General features: G+C 54.2%; 3 protein-coding genes and 1 non-coding gene across 11 annotated transcripts, besides 9 other annotated features; 1 reads left to right on the forward strand and 3 right to left on the reverse strand.

Annotated features, from left to right (window-relative positions):
- Positions 1 to 1009: 1009 nt before the first annotated feature.
- Positions 1010 to 2514, reverse strand: FAU (FAU ubiquitin like and ribosomal protein S30 fusion). Its single transcript, NM_001997.5, has 5 exons — positions 2470 to 2514; positions 2119 to 2201; positions 1880 to 2024; positions 1361 to 1416; positions 1010 to 1186 (listed from the first exon to the last, which is right to left on the reverse strand). Exons 2-5 carry the CDS (start codon positions 2191 to 2193, stop codon positions 1061 to 1063), a joined length of 402 nt encoding a protein of 133 aa, NP_001988.1. The 5' UTR covers positions 2194 to 2201; positions 2470 to 2514; the 3' UTR covers positions 1010 to 1060.
- Positions 2472 to 2561: an enhancer, noted in NCBI's record as "active region_4943". NCBI's record gives its function as "activates an Ori minimal core promoter by ATAC-STARR-seq in GM12878 lymphoblastoid cells {active_cell/tissue: GM12878}" and the evidence as "EXISTENCE:reporter gene assay evidence [ECO:0000049][PMID:35858748]".
- On the forward strand, positions 2563 to 7751 carry MRPL49 (mitochondrial ribosomal protein L49). 3 transcript variants are annotated; one of them, NR_037567.1, is made up of 4 exons: positions 2563 to 2720; positions 4882 to 5032; positions 5868 to 5992; positions 6106 to 7749. NR_037567.1 is itself a non-coding variant. In NM_004927.4 (4 exons), the coding sequence occupies exons 1-4, from the start codon at positions 2727 to 2729 to the stop codon at positions 6250 to 6252; spliced, it is 501 nt and encodes a 166-aa protein (NP_004918.1). In that variant the 5' UTR covers positions 2701 to 2726; the 3' UTR covers positions 6253 to 7751. The 3 variants fall into 3 exon arrangements, 1 of the variants encoding a protein (NP_004918.1); NM_004927.4 differs by having other exon boundaries at positions 2701 to 2804; positions 6106 to 7751; NR_037568.2 differs by lacking the exon at positions 4882 to 5032 and having other exon boundaries at positions 2701 to 2804; positions 6106 to 7751.
- Positions 2722 to 2991: an enhancer, noted in NCBI's record as "active region_4944". NCBI's record gives its function as "activates an Ori minimal core promoter by ATAC-STARR-seq in GM12878 lymphoblastoid cells {active_cell/tissue: GM12878}" and the evidence as "EXISTENCE:reporter gene assay evidence [ECO:0000049][PMID:35858748]".
- SYVN1 (synoviolin 1) lies at positions 7659 to 14899 on the reverse strand. Of its 6 annotated transcripts, none has more exons than NM_032431.3 (16): positions 14836 to 14899; positions 13850 to 13998; positions 13540 to 13632; positions 13302 to 13454; positions 13112 to 13160; positions 12628 to 12731; positions 11850 to 11976; positions 11654 to 11753; positions 11512 to 11577; positions 11300 to 11416; positions 11040 to 11203; positions 10631 to 10759; positions 10382 to 10552; positions 10109 to 10295; positions 8943 to 9094; positions 7659 to 8868 (listed from the first exon to the last, which is right to left on the reverse strand). In NM_032431.3, exons 2-16 carry the CDS (start codon positions 13979 to 13981, stop codon positions 8762 to 8764), a joined length of 1851 nt encoding a protein of 616 aa, NP_115807.1. In that variant the 5' UTR covers positions 13982 to 13998; positions 14836 to 14899; the 3' UTR covers positions 7659 to 8761. The 6 variants fall into 6 exon arrangements, with proteins under 6 accessions (NP_115807.1, NP_757385.1, XP_047283669.1 ...); NM_172230.3 differs by having other exon boundaries at positions 10382 to 10555; XM_047427713.1 differs by having other exon boundaries at positions 14634 to 14899.
- Positions 10296 to 10358, reverse strand: MIR6751 (microRNA 6751). Its single transcript, NR_106809.1, has one exon. It is a non-coding gene; the product is annotated as a microRNA 6751 (primary transcript).
- Positions 12730 to 12779: an enhancer, noted in NCBI's record as "active region_4945". NCBI's record gives its function as "activates an Ori minimal core promoter by ATAC-STARR-seq in GM12878 lymphoblastoid cells {active_cell/tissue: GM12878}" and the evidence as "EXISTENCE:reporter gene assay evidence [ECO:0000049][PMID:35858748]".
- Positions 13502 to 13678: a silencer, noted in NCBI's record as "fragment chr11:64900593-64900769 (GRCh37/hg19 assembly coordinates)". NCBI's record gives its function as "represses an EF-1alpha promoter that drives an FKBP-Casp9 reporter gene in an ReSE screen in K562 erythroleukemia cells {active_cell/tissue: K562}" and the evidence as "EXISTENCE:reporter gene assay evidence [ECO:0000049][PMID:32094911]".
- Positions 14280 to 14349: an enhancer, noted in NCBI's record as "active region_4946". NCBI's record gives its function as "activates an Ori minimal core promoter by ATAC-STARR-seq in GM12878 lymphoblastoid cells {active_cell/tissue: GM12878}" and the evidence as "EXISTENCE:reporter gene assay evidence [ECO:0000049][PMID:35858748]".
- Positions 14638 to 15541: an enhancer, noted in NCBI's record as "NANOG-H3K27ac-H3K4me1 hESC enhancer chr11:64901729-64902632 (GRCh37/hg19 assembly coordinates)". NCBI's record gives its function as "activates a minimal SCP1, AML or CMV promoter by ChIP-STARR-seq in naive H9 embryonic stem cells {active_cell/tissue: H9 hESC(naive)}" and the evidence as "EXISTENCE:reporter gene assay evidence [ECO:0000049][PMID:30033119]".
- Positions 14638 to 15578: a biological region, named in NCBI's record as "NANOG-H3K27ac-H3K4me1 hESC enhancer GRCh37_chr11:64901729-64902632".
- Positions 14900 to 15409: an enhancer, noted in NCBI's record as "active region_4947". NCBI's record gives its function as "activates an Ori minimal core promoter by ATAC-STARR-seq in GM12878 lymphoblastoid cells {active_cell/tissue: GM12878}" and the evidence as "EXISTENCE:reporter gene assay evidence [ECO:0000049][PMID:35858748]".
- Positions 15395 to 15578: a silencer, noted in NCBI's record as "fragment chr11:64902486-64902669 (GRCh37/hg19 assembly coordinates)". NCBI's record gives its function as "represses an EF-1alpha promoter that drives an FKBP-Casp9 reporter gene in an ReSE screen in K562 erythroleukemia cells {active_cell/tissue: K562}" and the evidence as "EXISTENCE:reporter gene assay evidence [ECO:0000049][PMID:32094911]".

The following is a 16729-nucleotide window of genomic DNA, read 5'->3' on the forward strand; positions in this document are numbered from 1 at the left end:
ACTCTGTCTCAATAAAATAAAATAAAGAAAAAAGAAAAACAAAAAAAGAGGCCCTCTCTGGGATGCTATTGTATCTGTCCACATCCTCCCCCTTTCTAAACTGCTGGAAGGCAGAAACCATGTCTTTAACACCACAGAGACAAAAATAGCCAAGATTCACACACTCACTGTAAGCCAGATGTTGATTTACATCCTTTAACCCTCACAGCAGCCCTGGAGATGGCAGAGATTAAATTAGTAGTTAGTTCAAAGGCCAGCCACCCAGTAAATGGAGTAGGAAGAAAAAGAAGGTCCAAACTCAGGCAGTCAAAGTCCACAGCCCAAGGGCTTTACCCTGTTGGATGCTATTTCTCAAGAACTGGCAGGTCCAGAAACTTTAGCTGAATGAGTAAGTGGGGTTCAGAAGTGCTGGGAGGCTCAGTTGCCAGAAGAGAACCCTGAATCAGCCCCAGAGGTAACCCAACTTTTGGGAACACTGAAACCTCACTATATCCAATCACAGATGTGATTAGGTTACCAAGTCCGGCCAGGCAGTCACAGAGGTACAAACGAGGCCATGCTCCCAACATAATATTTACTTCTAAAACCAAGGCAGACCAGATTCCTGCCCTGGACTCTAAGGCCACAGCTGGTACCAAGTTCAGGGAACGGCCAGGTTCACCTTCTATACAAACCTCTTCCCCCACCCATCCCTTCTATTGCTGCCTCCATAACAAACCTCTCACCACAGTGATTCCTGCTACCTTCTCTGTTTAGAAGATGAAAAAGAATGACCTGGGGGGACTGATCAAGTTACTTAGGATAGGGAATAACCCCAATTTTACATCTGAAGCCCCCCAGGATCTGTAGCTGTTTCTTCACAGGAAATTTCTCTTGTAGTTTACCATTTCTTCCCCCCATACCAAAGGCTTCTGCCTTTTCTGCCTCACTGTTCTCCTAGGGGACATACCACCAACCCGAGAAGCACACCTCTCCCTGAGGCCTTGCAAGTAAAGATGAAACAATGCGATGACTGAACTAAGTGGCTTTTTTATTAGAGAAAGCCAGAATTACAAAAGACTTAAGAGTTGGCATTGGGGCCCTTCTTCTTGCCAAAGGTGGGCACAACGTTGACAAAGCGCCGGTTGTACTGCATCCGCCGCTTAGCCCGACCTGTCTTCTTCTTCTTCTTCTCCTGTTTGGCCACCTGGAGAAGGGAAGGTTAATCAGGCCCTGGTTCCTGTCTTCCACACCTAGCATCCCTTCCCTCAGGCTCATCTCCAGGGAGGGAGAAGGCAAACCGAGTAAGAGCCCAGGGACTTGGTTTAGCTGTGAAAGGAAAAAAAGTCCTAACACCATGACCACTAATACTCTCACTCACCTTAGGAGTCTGACCTCTCACTTTTCCAGCACGGGCCAGGGAACCATGGACTTTACCTGTAGTGGGAAAGGAAGGCACCAGCAGGTAAGAGCAAGAAGGTGCCACCCAGCAGAACCCCTCTTTTCTCAATTCAAGCCTTTAAAGAGAAGCTGCGCCCAATAGGTAATGAGAACAAAGTTGCAGATATTTGACCTTGAAATCTTAAGTTTCATTTCAGGATCTTCCAGCTTCTAATTTTATAGAGCACTTTGGGGGCCCTGGTCTGACCTAATTTTAGTGTGGAAGCTGATAACCAGACTAGGATCTCGTGATGTGACTGAAATACAACTACACTCTGGCTCAGTCTCCCATGGACGTCTGTGTTCAACATGAGGGATGTAAACAGGAAGAATCACTCTGAACTGAAGACAGTGAGAAGTACTCTATTACCATAGGTGTGACACTCAGCTGTCAGGACTATGCACCCCACACTCACTAGACGCTTACCGGTACTTCAAAGAACATTCCTCTCTCACTCACCTCCAAGCATGCGGCCTGCTACTTCCAGGGTAGTCAGGGCCTCCACCCCGCACTGGCCCAGAGTGGCCTCATCCTCCAGGGGCGCGCCTGCCAGGAGCACGACTTGATCTTCCGGGGCAATGCCCTCCAGTGAGGCTACATGAGCCTACAGGGAAAGATAAGGCTCGTAAGCGTTCCCTCGGGCCGCGAGAGTGAAGAGCACAAGAAAATGGAACCCAGGGCGCACCAAGCAGCCTTACCTTGATCTGGGCGACCGTTTCCTGGCCGGTCACCTCGAAGGTGTGTAGCTCCTGGGCGCGGACAAAGAGCTGCATATTGGCGACTGAGTAAAGAAAAGACGGCTTGTAAGAGAAGCCAAGAAATGCTCTGGGATAAAGGAGATTTGGGAGTGGAAAGCGGTCCAGAAACGATCGCGACGGGATGGTGGTCGCGGCGGCTCACGTGGGGAAGGCCAGGCCTCCCAAGGAGTTCGGATAGGGACTGGAGCAGGGCCACGGAGCAGGCCCCGTTCTTCGGTTCCCCCCGCGCCTTCTGACCCCGCAGCCAACCTGCTACAAGCCCTTCGGATCCAGCCAAGGCCCCATTCTTACCTGAACGGCGGTCCCAGCTACCGCGAAGATGGAGTCGAGAAAGAGGAAGAAGCGAGGGCGCGTCAGTACAGACCGTGGGCTGCGTGTCACGTCACTGCTGAGCGACCGCGCGGTTCCCTGCTATTTGTACCGCCCAAGGCAGTCCTAGCTCCGCCCCTTTACGCTCGCACCGGCGAACCTGCCTGGGCAGGCAGCTCGCGCAGGACGGGGCGGGACCAGACAGTTGCGCGCACAGAAGGCTGGCGTAGCAGGTAAAGATGGCAGCTACCATGTTCCGGGCTACGCTGCGGGGATGGAGAACCGGTGTCCAGCGGGGCTGCGGGCTACGGCTGTTGGTGAGAGCGCTGAGCGAGGAGCTGAGGGCATCGCGTGGGTGTGAGGCTCAGTGTTAATCATTGTTAACCCCGAAAACTAAGGCATTCCTACTTGGGGCCTTAGTTTTGCCGTTTTCGATCAGGAGAACTTGTCCCGAGTGTACATATAGAATCGAGAGGGAAAATGGTAGACTGGGGTGCTCTTTGGGAGCACTTAACACAGTGCCTGGCAGTGTCTATATAAGCCACAACGTTTCAGGTAAGGGGCGGGGTCCTAGCATATGAGTGTGCGTGGGGAATTATGATTGCCTTAATTCTTTTTTTTTTTTTTTTTGAGACGGAGTCTCGCTCTGTCGCCCAGGCTGGAGGGCAGTGGCGCGATCTCGGCCCACTGCAAGCTCCGCCTCCCAGATTCACGCCATCCTCCTGCCTCAGCCTCCCGAGTAGCTGGGACTACAGGCTCCCGCCACCATGCCCGGCTAATTTTTTGTATTTTTAGTAGAGACGGGGTTTCACCTTGTTAGCCAGGATGGACTGGATCTTCTGACCTCGTGATCCGCCCGCCTCGGCCTCCCAAAGTGCTGGGATTACAGGCATGAGCCGCCGAACCCGTCTGATTGCCTTAATTCTTAAGGCAATCATAAGATTAAACATCACTATATCCCGTCACAGATGTGATTAGGTTAGCAAGGCCAGCCAGGCAATCATGGAGGTACAAACAAGGCCACGCTGCCAATATAATAATATCTATTTCTAAAACCGAGACAGAAAGTTAAGCCTTAAGTTTCTAAAGGCTTGATTGACTTTTCAGAAGTGTACATATACTCTTTTGCATCCCACAGAAATCCTGAGAGGCAGACCATTCAGAGTACCTGAGCCTCCTTTCCATCCCATCTGTACCCTGCACCATGGAAAACCAAAGACTGGTGCTATCTTATGTCAACCTAAATAACAGACTCTAAAAGAAAAGGATATTTATTCGGGAATGGGTATAGACTATGTGCTTATCAGGGAGGTAAAAGAAGACAAAGGTTTTTAACAGAAAAATGGGCCAGGCACGGTGGCTCACGCCTGTAATCCCAGCACTTTGGGAGGCCAAGGCGCGTAGATCACCTGGAGTCAGGAGTTTGAGACAAGCCTGGCCAACATGGTGAAACCCGTCTCTAGAAAAAATACAAAAATTAGCCGGGTGTGATGGCGTGTGCCTGTAGTCCCAGCTACTTGGGAGGCTGAGGTAGGAGACTTGCTTGAACTTGGGAGGCGGAGGTTGCAGTGAGCCGAGATCACACCACTGCACTCCAGCCTAGGTGACAGAGTGAGACTCTATCTAAAAAAATAATAAAAATAAATAAAGGAAAGGAAAAATGAGTATTACATAATTGTTTTGAGACAGTTATCCTTGGCTACAAGGATGAATAACATGGGTGGTGCCAGTTCAAGATTGGACAGGCAGTTGTTGGACAGATGGCCATGCAGGAATTTGTTTTGTTTTGTTTTGTTTGAGAGAGTCTCGTCGCTCTGTCACCGAGGCTGGAGTGCAATGGTGCGATCTTAGCTCACTGCAACCTCCACCTCCTGGGTTCAAGCAATTCTCCTGCCTCAGCCTCCCAAGTAGCTGGGATTACAGGCATGCACCACCATGCCCGGCTAATTTTTGTATTTTCAGTAGAGATGGGGTTTCGCCATGTTGGCCAGGCTGGTGTTGAACTCCTGACCTTAGATGATCCTCCTGCCTCAGCCTCCAAGGTGCTGGGATTACAGGCGTGAGCCACCTTGCCCAGCCAGAAATATTTTTTTGTGTAAGGTTGAAGTGGCCTTTGTGCAAGGCTGTGGTTTTTGCAGTCTTTTGTGGTAGTTCTTGTTATTAAGTATTTGTGCCCAAGAACTCTCTCTTCGTGGCCCTCCCTAGCTCTATTTGTTGGGATTTTTAACCCAAGTGACTCACTCCATTTTGATTCTGATAGCTTTCACACCGTCGCCCAGCCTTTTATTTATGTCATTCTCTCTGCCTGTAATGTTTCCATTCTCTACTTACTGAAGTTATGCCATCCTGTGTTGGGTAGGCTAATGGAGAAATGGGATTTTTGTTTTGCTTCAGAGCCAGACCCAGGGCCCTCCAGATTACCCCAGGTTTGTGGAGTCTGTGGATGAATATCAGTTTGTGGAGCGCCTGTTACCGGCTACCAGGATCCCAGATCCCCCAAAGCATGAACATTATCCTACCCCTAGTGGCTGGCAGCCTCCCAGAGGTGAGCTGGGTGGTTAGGGATGATTTGAAAGCTTCACGGAGCATCACCTCCTCCCCAGAGGTTGGCCTCCCCCATGAGGCTCTGGACTCTCCAGTGGGTTCAGGACTCATTTTGCAATCCCTCTGGGTTACATCTGTCTCATGCCCAAGGAAGAGCCGAGGAGTGGAGCCTTCTGTTGTTCACTGGTACTCATCCATCCACACTATTGAGATCAGGTCTTCCCCATATGGGGGAAAGTAAACAACAGAGAGAAAACCCAAGAGCTTGGACCTTCTTTCCCCCCAGCAGACTATGTACTGTAATTAAGAACACAGCTTGGAGTCAGGCAGTTCTGGGTTTGAATTTGGCTTTATTTACTGTTGATGTTATCTTGAATTAGTCACTTAGCTTGACCCAACCTGTTTTAGCAAAATGGAGATAATCTGCTCAGTACATAGAGCCCTTAGTGCAGAGCCCAGCATATGGTAGGTGCTCAGTGCTTGCAAATCCCAATCTCTTTGTTCCAGAGATTGATTTCGGCCTCCCTGACCCAGTGGAGGAGGGCAAGGGTTGGCCTAGAGGGGGACCCAAAGATCCAGGGAGGCATGTCCCTGATTTCATTTTTTCTTGAGCACCTACTTAGTGCCAGGCCCTGTGTGGGGCCTTAGGGTACCAGGGTGAACAATTTGGTCCTGACTCCAAGCTGAAGGAAAGAGGAGACCCCCTGACCTAAAGTCTGGAGGTGGCTTGGTCCAGCTGGGTGCACTGGCCCTCTGCAGACTGAGAGCAAGGGCCTTGGCTGAGGTGGGATGGCACGTAGGAAGAGTTGATTTAACAGTGTCTTTCCCTGTTGCAGACCCCCCACCCAACCTGCCTTACTTTGTACGACGCTCTCGGATGCACAACATCCCCGTCTACAAGGACATCACGCATGGCAACCGGCAGATGACTGTGATCCGGAAAGTGGAAGGGGACATCTGGGTAAGTGGGTGGGTGGGTCTGGGACTGGGCCTGACCCTTTCAGGGCTGAAGGGACAGGAGTCTTTTTAAGGGAAGGGACTCTTGGCCTGACCTGATTTGTCATCTTTCCCCAGGCCCTGCAGAAAGACGTGGAAGATTTTCTGAGCCCGCTGCTGGGGAAGACACCTGTCACCCAGGTCAATGAGGTGACAGGTACCCTACGGATCAAGGGCTACTTTGACCAGGAGCTTAAAGCCTGGCTCTTGGAGAAAGGCTTCTGAGGCCCAGCCGAGCAGCCTGCTTGTCAGCATGCCCTGTGGATCAAGTCTAGGGGGCCTCAGGAGGAGGGAGGTGGGTGTTGGAGCCCCTGAGACAGGGGATACAGAAACTAGGGCTAAAGGACTTTGGGGTCAGGCCTTGCTTGCATAAAGGAGAAAACAACTCTATGTACATGCTGGGGGAGAGTGCCTAATGTGGGAGACCAAATAGGGATCACCAGGCTAATGGGGGGCGTCAGCAGCTTTCTCTCCCTCCTATCTTGGCCTGTTCTTTTTTGTTTTTTGAGACGGAGTCTCACTCTGTTGCCCAGGGTGGAGTGCAGTGGCATGATCTTGGCTCACTGCAACTTCCACCTCTGGGATCAAGGGATTCTCCTGCCTCAGCCTCTTGAGTAGCTGGGATTACAGGCGCCCACCACCACAGCCTGCTAATTTTTGTATTTTTAGTAGAGATGGGGTTTCACCATGTTGGCCAGGCTGGTCTCAAACTCCTGACTCGAAGTGATCCGCCCACCTTGGCCTCCCAAAGCGTTGGGATTATAGGCATGAGCCATGTGCCTGGTCCACCTTGGCCTGTTTTGTTTTTCTTTCCTTGGGCTCAGCAATTCAAATTCTAGTTGTTATTTGGTGGAAGCAGTAGCCCAACCCCAGTTTAGGGGAAGGTAGCACAGGGCAGAGCCACTGGGCACTTTGTTTCCTTGGCCCTCCGAAGCTCACTGTTGCAAATACCCCCAAGCCTTTGCTCTAGGCCAGATCTTGTTTGGTGCAGGTGATGGAGAACACAGATGACTCGGGCATGGGTCTTGGAGATCTTCTGTTCAAAGTACAGTGCTGGCACTGGGGCACAGAGTGCCCACGTTAGCCCCGGGCTCTGATAGAGAGGTAGGAGGCACGTTCTTGGTCACTGTTCCATTGCAGACCAGACTTGCTGGCCTGACCACAAGGGAGTGGCTGGGAACTCACAGCCAGCATAGGGACATCCCCCTGCAGCCTTCTGACCTGCAATCAAGGCTGGGGAGGGGTTTGCAGGCAGGAATATGCTGACCTTTCACCCTGCCATCCCATCCCAACCCCAGCTCACTAGCCTTCATATATGCCTTATACTTGGAGTCACAGGGGCCAAAGGCCTGAGACCCCACCCTGCCCCCAAACTGGCTAAGACAGCTTTCAGTTCCTGACTCCCCAACTTGGTCTCTGCCCTGAAGCAGGGCACTGAACTCTGGGCTGCTTCTCTGTGTGTAAAATGGGCACATCTTCCTAATCTGTTAATGGTCAGTGGTGTCCCCAAGGATAGTGCTGGCTTCCATGGAAACCCTCACTCCTGGAGATTCCATTCCATTTTCAAGTGTACAGCCACAGCAAGGAGCCCGACACTGATTTGATCGATTCTGTGACACAAACCCCACCAATTGTTAATGCAAGTTTTTATTTGGCTGTATATACAATTTAAGCTATTAAAATTTGTACAATATTTACAAATTAAATAATCATCTGAAACTGTCTCCAACAACTCTTGTAACACAAAACCAAGGGGAAAAGACAGGGGCAGGCAGGTCCCAGCTCCTGTGGTCCCTCCTTGGCACAGAGCCTTTTCTAAACTGGAAAGACCAGGAGTCTGGCACTCCTGTTCCTCTTTCCCGGGATTAAGCATTCAACTTCAAAAGACAAAATTTAAGCCAAAAGACACTAGTAAGGAAGTAATTCCAATTCTAAACTTCAGAAGTTCTGCCAGTTGAGAAGTGGCCTTCCTTGGGCGCTGGGATTGCAGTGGTCAGGAGCAGGCGCACTGGCCCTTGCCTGGAGTGCGGCTGGGCAGTGGCTGCTGGGTGAGACAGGTCAGTCTCACTTGAGAAGCTGCAGAGGAAAGGGGCCTGGGGGGAGGGGCGGGGCAGGGTCCCTCAGTGCTGCCCGCCTGCACCCCCACTCCCAGGCATTCCTTTCCCTGAGTTGTGTGGTTGCCAGTAAGACGCAGAAATGCCACAGGGCATAGGGGGCACAGCCACCACCACAAGAGGCTTCTGGGGAGATCAGGGTAAGAAAAGGAAATGGGTACCAGTCTTAGGGGTGGGCCAGCGAGCAAGTTCATAGCTTGCCTCCAGCCCCTCTGGAGTCCACACTTGGGAACGGGAGCTAATACTGTTCGGCACTGCAGTGTGACTCCGCACATACAAGTAGGGCTTGGAGGGGCAGCCCCTTCTCCTGGAAAGGGGTGGGGGAAGAAGAGGGCTTCTCAGAGGCTAAACCTTCTGCCTTCATGGCCCCAGCAGAACACAGGGCTGAAGAGTTGGAGAGGAAGGCTGGAACTGACCCGAGATCCCCATGGCTGCCTGGGACTGGAGTCAAATGGGAACCCCAGCCTCTTTCCACTTGGCCTAGGGGATGCCGCCTCTTTCTCAGAGCTGGGGGTACTACTCCCTGGTGCAGACAGAGAGGGAGCTGGCACTTGGTGGCAGGACATGTTCCAGCGAGGGCTGCTCAAAAGAGCAGAGGCTGGGGCTGGGCTGGGGCAGTGTCAGTGGGCAACAGGAGACTCCAGCTTCTGCAGGCGGCGCCGGCGGAGCTCTGCTGCATCGGGCTCTCCATCCTCAGGCATCTCCTCTGTGCCCACTGACTCAGGAGCTGGGGACAGAGAGACTGGAAGTGGAACCTAGAGAAGTTCCCTGCTCCCCCGGCTGGAGGCCAATCACACCTACCTGGAGGCCTTTCCATTTCAGGGGCTGGTGGGGAGGCTCCTGGGGTTGGGGTCGTGGCCTCTGAGCTAGGGATGCTGGTGGAGGAGGCAGCAGCAACAACTGTAGTGGCAGTCTCCTCAGTGGAGTTGACTGAAGTGGCAGGCCGGGGGGGCCTGGGAAGAGAAGGGACGAGAGGCGGGCCTGGCCTTGGCATCCAAGGTTGGGCAGATTCTCCTGCCCTTGGTGAGCCTTGCAGAACAGAGTATAGAATGATGTGCCCTTGTGGCCCCAGTGCCTGGCAAACACAAGTGAACATGCTGAATGAACTCAGACAGGGTGACTGGACTCAAGGGCCAAATGATTCTATCCCTTAGCTGTAAGGTGCTTGCAGGCAGGGACTGTTGACCTGTTCACTCTTACCCTGCAGTCTCCACCCTGGGGAGTCAGGCACCTTATAGGGGACTCACTCAATAAGCCACAGTGCTCGAGCCTTGGACTCAAGTTCCTCTCCAAGCCTGTGCTGTCACTGCTAGATGCCAGGCATTATGTACATGTCACTTTTTTAAAAGACAGCGTCTCGGCTCTGTCACCAAAGCTGGAATTTAGTGGCACAATCATAGCTCACTGCACCCTCAAATTCCTAGGCTCAAACAATCCTCCTGCCTCAGCCTTCCAAAGTGCTGATTATAGGTGTGTATCTGGCAGTACACATCACTTATGAATATGAATTAAGACCCCTTTATTCAAATAATGAGAGGTCAAAAATGAGTGATGGGACCAGCGCTTGAACTTGAGCCAGGATGGCTCCAAGTGACTTCCTATTATTCGCTCCCTCAGTTTGGGGGCAGCAATTGCCAATCTAAGTGTCACCACATCTCAGAAGAATATCATGTGATGAACTAAAGCACTGCAAATTCTGAATAATTTGACTTTAGAAAAATATAAAGGAATAAGATCTAAAGTCAGCTCTCGAATAAACATCACTCCTACTTAGATCCAGACATGCTTTCTGGAGTGGGAAATAAAGGCACCAGGAGTTACCAAGAACTCCTGGAGACCCTTGGTGGGCCTGTAGATAGGCAGCCTGAATTGGCAGGTGTCAAAGGCCAAGAACCACTGCTGGGGACCTCTTGGCAGCTCCACTCCTGACCCACCAAACCCACTCTGCTTCCCCTGTACAGACACACCCCAAGGAGGCCAGCACGGTGAGGTACTGGTTGATCTGCAGCATGGCGGCGTCCAGCAGTGTGTGGATGTTACGCAGGCTCTGCAGCCGGGCCTCCAGGTGCTGCCGCTCATGGCCCTCCAGAGCTCGTAGCTCCTCTGGGGTCAGCCCAGCAAAGCCCGCAGGGGGCACAGGCATTGGGGGGAAGGCTGGAGAGAGAGAGGCTCAGTCTGGGCTGCTGGGGCCAGACACCAACCTCACCCCCAAGAAGAACCCAGAGAGTGGCCCAGCTTACCAAAGGGTGGAGGCAGGGGCATACCCATCCAGGGAGGAGGGAAGGGGAAACCAGGGGCAGGGCCAGCCTCTGGGGCAGAGCCAGAGCCTGGGCCAGATGCTGTGGCAGAAGCAGCAGTAGCACTGGTGCCAGCAGCTGTGGTTGTAGCTGCTCCACTGGGCCGAGAAAGGGCTGCTGAAGAGCAGGAACGAAGTCAGTGAGTGTTCCATCCCTGCCGCCCCCTGGCTGTCACAGTACCCAAAGGCTCACCTGCACTGGTGGATGGAGGAGCCACAGCCTCTCCTGAGCTGGGGGGAGGCGGGACAGGTGGAAAGGGGCCCATGGGGGGCCACAGTGGGAACATGCCTGGAGGAAAAGGAGGCAGGAGGCCCTGGGGGACTGCAGAGAGAAGACGGAGGTAAGGAAAGGGCCAAATGGACACAGACCCAACTCCCAGGCAGGGGGCCTGGCTATTGAGAGCTCTGTCCTATTCCCACAGGCCCTCAGCCCAGCACTGGTCACACTGACTGCAAGCATCTATTTCTCATCTTTTAATCCCTCCCTGGCCCAGACTGAGATTCTGGAGGGCAGGGACTCTCCAATTTCCCAGCATCTTCCACATCCAGCCCAGGGCAAGTATCCAGTGGTATGCCGGGTGGCCAGACAAGGGGATACTCACAGTTGGGGGGCTGAGGCAAGAGTGGTGGGGGGTGGGGGGCAGGGGGTGGCCCCTGATCCGCAGGCTCCGGGGGTGGTGGTGACTGCGCTGGCAGCGATGCACGAAGGACATCCATACGGCAGGTGGGGCAGGTCTGCTGCCGCTGGAACCAGGAGCGCAGGCAGCTGCGGGTCAAGGCCAGGCAGAGGTCAGCAGGTCCCTAGGGGCCTGCCTTCTGGGGCCTGTGCCCTGCTGTGCAGGCTCCCCAGGGCCCCTCCCACCTGGTATGGAAAATGTGGTTGCAGGGCAGTCTCTTGGCACCAGTCACCATCTCTTCTCGGCAGATGATGCAGACATTGTCCATTGCCTGGAGCTCCTCTGGGGTGGCATCTGGATACCTGGTTAGGATGACAGGGGCTGTATCAGGTCCAGAGCTGGAAGCAGAGGGACCCAGGACCGAGCTTGGGACAGCAGCCATGACAAGCCTACTTACAGGGTGTTCATGTTGCGGATGGCTCGGCGAGACATGATGGCATCTGTCACAGCTTTCTTGAACTGTCTGAAAGGACAGTCAGTGAAAGCAGGAGAAGGGACGGGATCAGGTCAGGAGGATCGGGGGACAGGGCCGGGCTCACCTCATGGCCAGGTACATGGGCCGGATGGCAAAGAGTGGGAAGGTGTGCACCTTGATCATGATGGTCATGAAGGCCATGTACAGCAGAACCTTGATGAAGCCTGAGGGGAGGGGATGCAGAAAGCAGCAGGTCACAGGGCCAGGAGGCAGAGTGGAGGATGCTGGTCCAGATCAGGAGAGGCCCAGGCCCCTCTCACCTGTAAACAGCTCTGTGTAGAGCATGTACACAGCCTTGTTGTCCCAGGGGTTCTCACTCTGGAGGTCCACGGAGTGCAGCACATACTTGATGAAGATGGTGAGCACCATCGTCATCAGGATGGCATACTGAAGGGAGAGGGGGACGAGGGGGATGTAAACACATAGCTCCCCCTTGCTGCACCCACATTGCTCCCCAAGGCCTCTGCACAGCAGGTGCAGTGGTACAATCACAGGCTCTAGACACACCCAGGGTCCTCCTAGCCCCTCCACTTACTAGCTGTGACTTTTGGCAACTCAGTGAACCTCAGTTTACTTATCTATAAAATGACATAATTAACTGTTCCTTTATAACAGTATTGTCTTGCTGAATAAGAGATGCAGGTCAGGAGCTCAGCATAGGGCCTGGTGTGAAATTCGCACTCAACAAATATGAGCTGTTGTCACTGAACACATTCTCTCTCTGCCAGGGACACGCCTCCAGTTGTCCATGGAACTAATCCTCTCCTGTCCATTACCAGCTAGCTCCGGCACGAGCCTCCAGGAACCCTCTCCTGAGCCCCAGGTTGGGGCTCCTCCTCTGTCCTAGCCTCTTTGTGCGTCTCCCCAGTCACCTAGGAGTGAGCGTGTGGAGGGCAGGAGCCATATCTGATCACTGCCCCTTGGTGGCCAGCACAGGTTGGCCACATAGCAGGTGCTGAGGAAGGGTCTGTTGGGTTATTCAAGGCACATGTGGGGTCACCTCGGGCTTGTCCTCTCAACCTCCCAAGCCAGTTTTACCTCAAAGCCAAACACCAGCTGCACAGAGGCCCCACGGGTCAGGATGCTGTGATAGGCGTGGCTGACGAAGAGGAAGTCCAGGATGCCCAGGAGGAACATAAGAGCTGTGGGGACCCCCACACATGCAGGGTGGGGGGGTCAGCCCAGGGCCCAACAGCTGTTTAATGCTCTAGGACAGCCCCACCCTCAAGCCCACCATGGCCCCAGCGATCTAGTCAGGTGGGCACACTCCACTGAACCTGGCCCTCTGGGAACTTCCTGGGGGAGGGGGAGTTGTTGGGGCTGCCCAGGCTGCAGGTGAGAAGGCAAAGGGCTGAGGGCCCAGGCAGTTGAGAAGCCCTAGAGTGGAACAGCACAGAGACTATGCAAATTAACTTCCTAAATTATCTTTCCTGTACAGCTGTGGGGGGTAGCCTGTGCTCTGGAGTACAGGTCCACGGTTCACGTTCCAGTCCTCCCTTCCCCTCCCCTGAATCTCACTCACAGACAATGCGGCAGTGAAAGAGCCAGGAGATGTTGGGGCTGCGTTCCATCTGAGGCAGAGCACAGAAGAGGCCTGTCAGGAGGCCTGGGGCTCACCCCACACCCTCAACCTAGCCCTCCCTGCTCCTTAAGCCTGCCCGCTGGCTACTCCCTGGCTTCCACCTGCTCCAGAACTCCCTGCCTTGACTCACAAAGTCCACACGGTCCTCAGCCAGCCAGTGGAAACATTTGAGGAAGAGAAGAAGAGTGAAGAGTGCAACAAAGCGGGGGCTGAAGTCATCCCGAAAAACGGTGAAGGCCAGACAAGTCTCTGTGACGGCGTACCAGGAACGTTCCAGAAGGTGCTGGGGGCCAGGCAGGGAATAATGTGGATACCAAACATTCTTTCCCAGCACCCTGCCCTCACCTTTGGGGCAGCCGACATCTTACCTCCATCTCTGCTGCCCTCAGTTGCCCAAAGAACACCTTGCCCATCACCTTGCCCAGAAGGAAGACAAGGACAAAGGCCTGGATGTACAGGACCTAGGAGTGGGGAGAGGCTGTGGTTTGAGGTCACTTTCTGCTTTCCTCTCCTTGGGACTCATCATGCAGGATCCTCCACATCCTCATCACAGTTTATTCAAAGTTAGGCAGCTGGCGGCTACTTCCCTACTTACCTGACCTCTAGCCCCGCCCCTTGCCCAGGCAGACTCCTCCTTCCCTCCCAGGGAGTTCCTCCCTCCCTGAGCCCTGAACTCACTGCCATGCTGGGGCTGGACTTGGTCAGGTACACCACAGTGGGGTAGAACTGGTGTTTGAGGTAGTAGGCGTGAGCCACCACAGCCCCGGTCAGCGCCAGGCTGGCCGCCATCATCACTGCCGTGCGGAACATTGCCCTGGCCCGGAGACCTGCATGGGGCAAGAAAATAACTTATGTGATGCTCGTGCTGTGCAAAATAGCCCGGTGCCTGGCACAGCCTCAATTCATAGGAGAAAGTGGGGGGGAAATCACATTTCGCCCTCGAAATCATCAGACAAAGAATAGCTTACGCTACCCCATTTTACAAATTAGACTCGAAGGGGTTAAGTGATCACACTGACGCAAGGCCTGGAACCTGGGTCAGTCTTGCTTCAAATCTAGGGCTCTTTCCACGCTGCCTGCCAAGCCGCCTCCTCTAGGGAGGTGATGAGGAAAAGCTGCAATGTTGGAGGAGGGGGAGCTGCACCGCTGACCCTCCGGTGGAGAAGATGGGGTGGGAGGCAACAGCAGAAATCTGCTCCAGGGGCGGGAATGCGCAGCCAGGGCTGAGAGCAGCCAAGGCACAGAGGATAGCAGGCTGGGCAGGCGACAGCGCCGGTGACAGCTGTGTTAGGGTGGGCAGTTCGGACGCCCGCCCTGCGGGAGCGGGCGGGGAACGTCAGCCTGGAATCCTGGGGTCCCCCGACCCCCGGAGTAGTGTCAACTCAGAGCACCACAAAAACAGCGGGACGGGAGAGAGCAGCAGCGGGACGGGAGGAGCCGGGTCGCCCTCGCGGCCGCGCACCTGTGAGCACCAGGAGTTGCGGGCGTCGCAGGCAGGGCCCAGGCTTGAGCAAAGCGGCCGCACCGGCGTCTGAGGTCTCCGGCCAGCTGACAGGCCGAAAGCGTGCGGCGGGGCTGAGGGGCGTGCCGACTCCGGAGACCTCAAGGGGAAGGTTCGGGTCCCGACCCCAACCACAACTCGGGCCAGACTTCGCCCCACTCACCAGGAACCCAGCGCCGCGAGCCCGCTCAATCCGCGCGACTGCGGCTGCCCCTCCGGTTAACAACACTCCCCACCCCCTGCGAACCGGAACTTCGGGGGTCAGACACCTCACTTCCGGCGGCGCGGGGCGCGGCGTGGGTCGTACCAAGTGCGTCCTGCCCTGGCTCGCACTGCGCCCTACGTGGGCCCATAGCAATGGTGTCACCACCGTATCTGGGGTGATGTCTACGGGGAAGGGCTGGGCAAGAGGTCCGAGAGGTGGTCGGAAGGTAATAAGGCAACAGGGGGGAGTCGGAGGTCCCCCTATTATTTATTAGTCACAGATGGTATGGCTCCTGCGCTGAGTGGCCTCCTCGGACTGGGGGACTCGGCCCCGCGAGCAGCTGGGAAGGGGAGCCGCTTGCGGGCTGTACCACCTGGAGCGGGGAGTAGGCCAGGGACAGACTATACAAGCCTGAGGGGAATGAAATGTTTTCTTAAACATTTAGGGAGAGTCACAACAGTTTGACAAATACGGTGCTCTCTGAGAGAACTGGATGCGGAAAACAAAAATTTGTCTTCTCCATGATCACCCCCACAAGTTGTGTGGGAGTGAGTTGGGTCCCGTGGCTGCCACTGATTGGTTGCGATAAGTTACGCGGCCCAATAAGAAAAAGAATGTACCTTTGCTGGCCTATAGAAAGGGGAAAGCAGGTGAGTGGTTGTTAGGGGCGGACAGCTGCGTTGCCTAGGCCCTGGTCCCGCTCCAGTTGGCTGAGAGTAGGGAAAGCTCAGTCCTTGGGCGAGTGATCCCTGGCTGGCCTCCGGGAACGTTTGCCGCGCCAGGACAGGGAGGGACAACCAGGTGTACCCGAGACTGGGAGATTAATTCCTGCTAATCTTGGGACGGAAGTGTTCTGTTTGTTCAAAGGAATTGACTTCAGCGTCGCAGGCCTGCCCGCATCTCAGTGTCTGATTTTGCTGCCCATGTGTTGTTCAGCTCTGAGCCATAAGCAAGACCCCCACTGGTCCTGGGCTGCACTGTATTTTAGTTCGTGTCTGGGTCGCAGCCAACTAAGCCTGCTGATTAACAAAATGGAGCTAATGCATCCACTTTGTGCCTTGCGTTTTCCTCCGTCATCTCATTTAATCATCAATCACTAAGGTTTATGAGCTAGGGGGTGCTACCCCCTCCCCCGAAACGTGGGGCAATTGAAATTCAAAGGCTTACCAAAACCTGTCCTAGGATTGGCGCCAGGTCTGTCTGCCTCTAAATCTCTGTGCTGTTGGTCTCAGCCATCTTCCCTGCCACCTGTTGACTTGACAGTTTCAGCTTATAACCAGTCAGAGTTGGCTTCCCCGTAAGGCCACGTATAACTTTTTTTCCCCCTTTTCTTTTTATTTATTTATTTATTAATTTTTGCGACAGGGTCTTGCTCTGTCGCCCAGGCTGGAGTGCATTGGCGCCATCAGGGCTCATTGCAGCCTCGACCTCCCGGGCTCAAGCGATCCTCCCACCTCAGCCCCACAAGGTGTTGGGATTACAGGCGTGAGCCACAACACCTTGCCTATCTGTAACTTTCTAGTGACTGCATCCAATGGTTGGCTTTCAGCCCTTGCTTGACTCAACCTCTCTCCCCTTCTTGAAAGTCTCCTCCCTAAGCTTCTGTGATCCACATGCCTCTGCTCCTCTTTTCTCTCTGGCTATGCATGTGTCCTCTTCTCTTTACCTGATGTCCTTCTCTTTACTTTTCCTGCATGATTTCCTCTGCTCCAGTCCAGCCCCTGACCCAGGTGCTGATGATTTCCTTGTGTGGTCTCCAGCCGGGATCTATCCTGCTTTTAAAACAGTTCAGTGTCCCTAGACACTGTCTGCACCCCAGCTCCGGAAACGGGCATCATGCTCACTATCTGCC

The sequence above is a fragment of the Homo sapiens genome, chromosome 11 (assembly GCF_000001405.40).
Source record: "Homo sapiens chromosome 11, GRCh38.p14 Primary Assembly".
In the NCBI taxonomy this organism is placed as follows: Eukaryota; Metazoa; Chordata; class Mammalia; order Primates; family Hominidae; genus Homo; species Homo sapiens.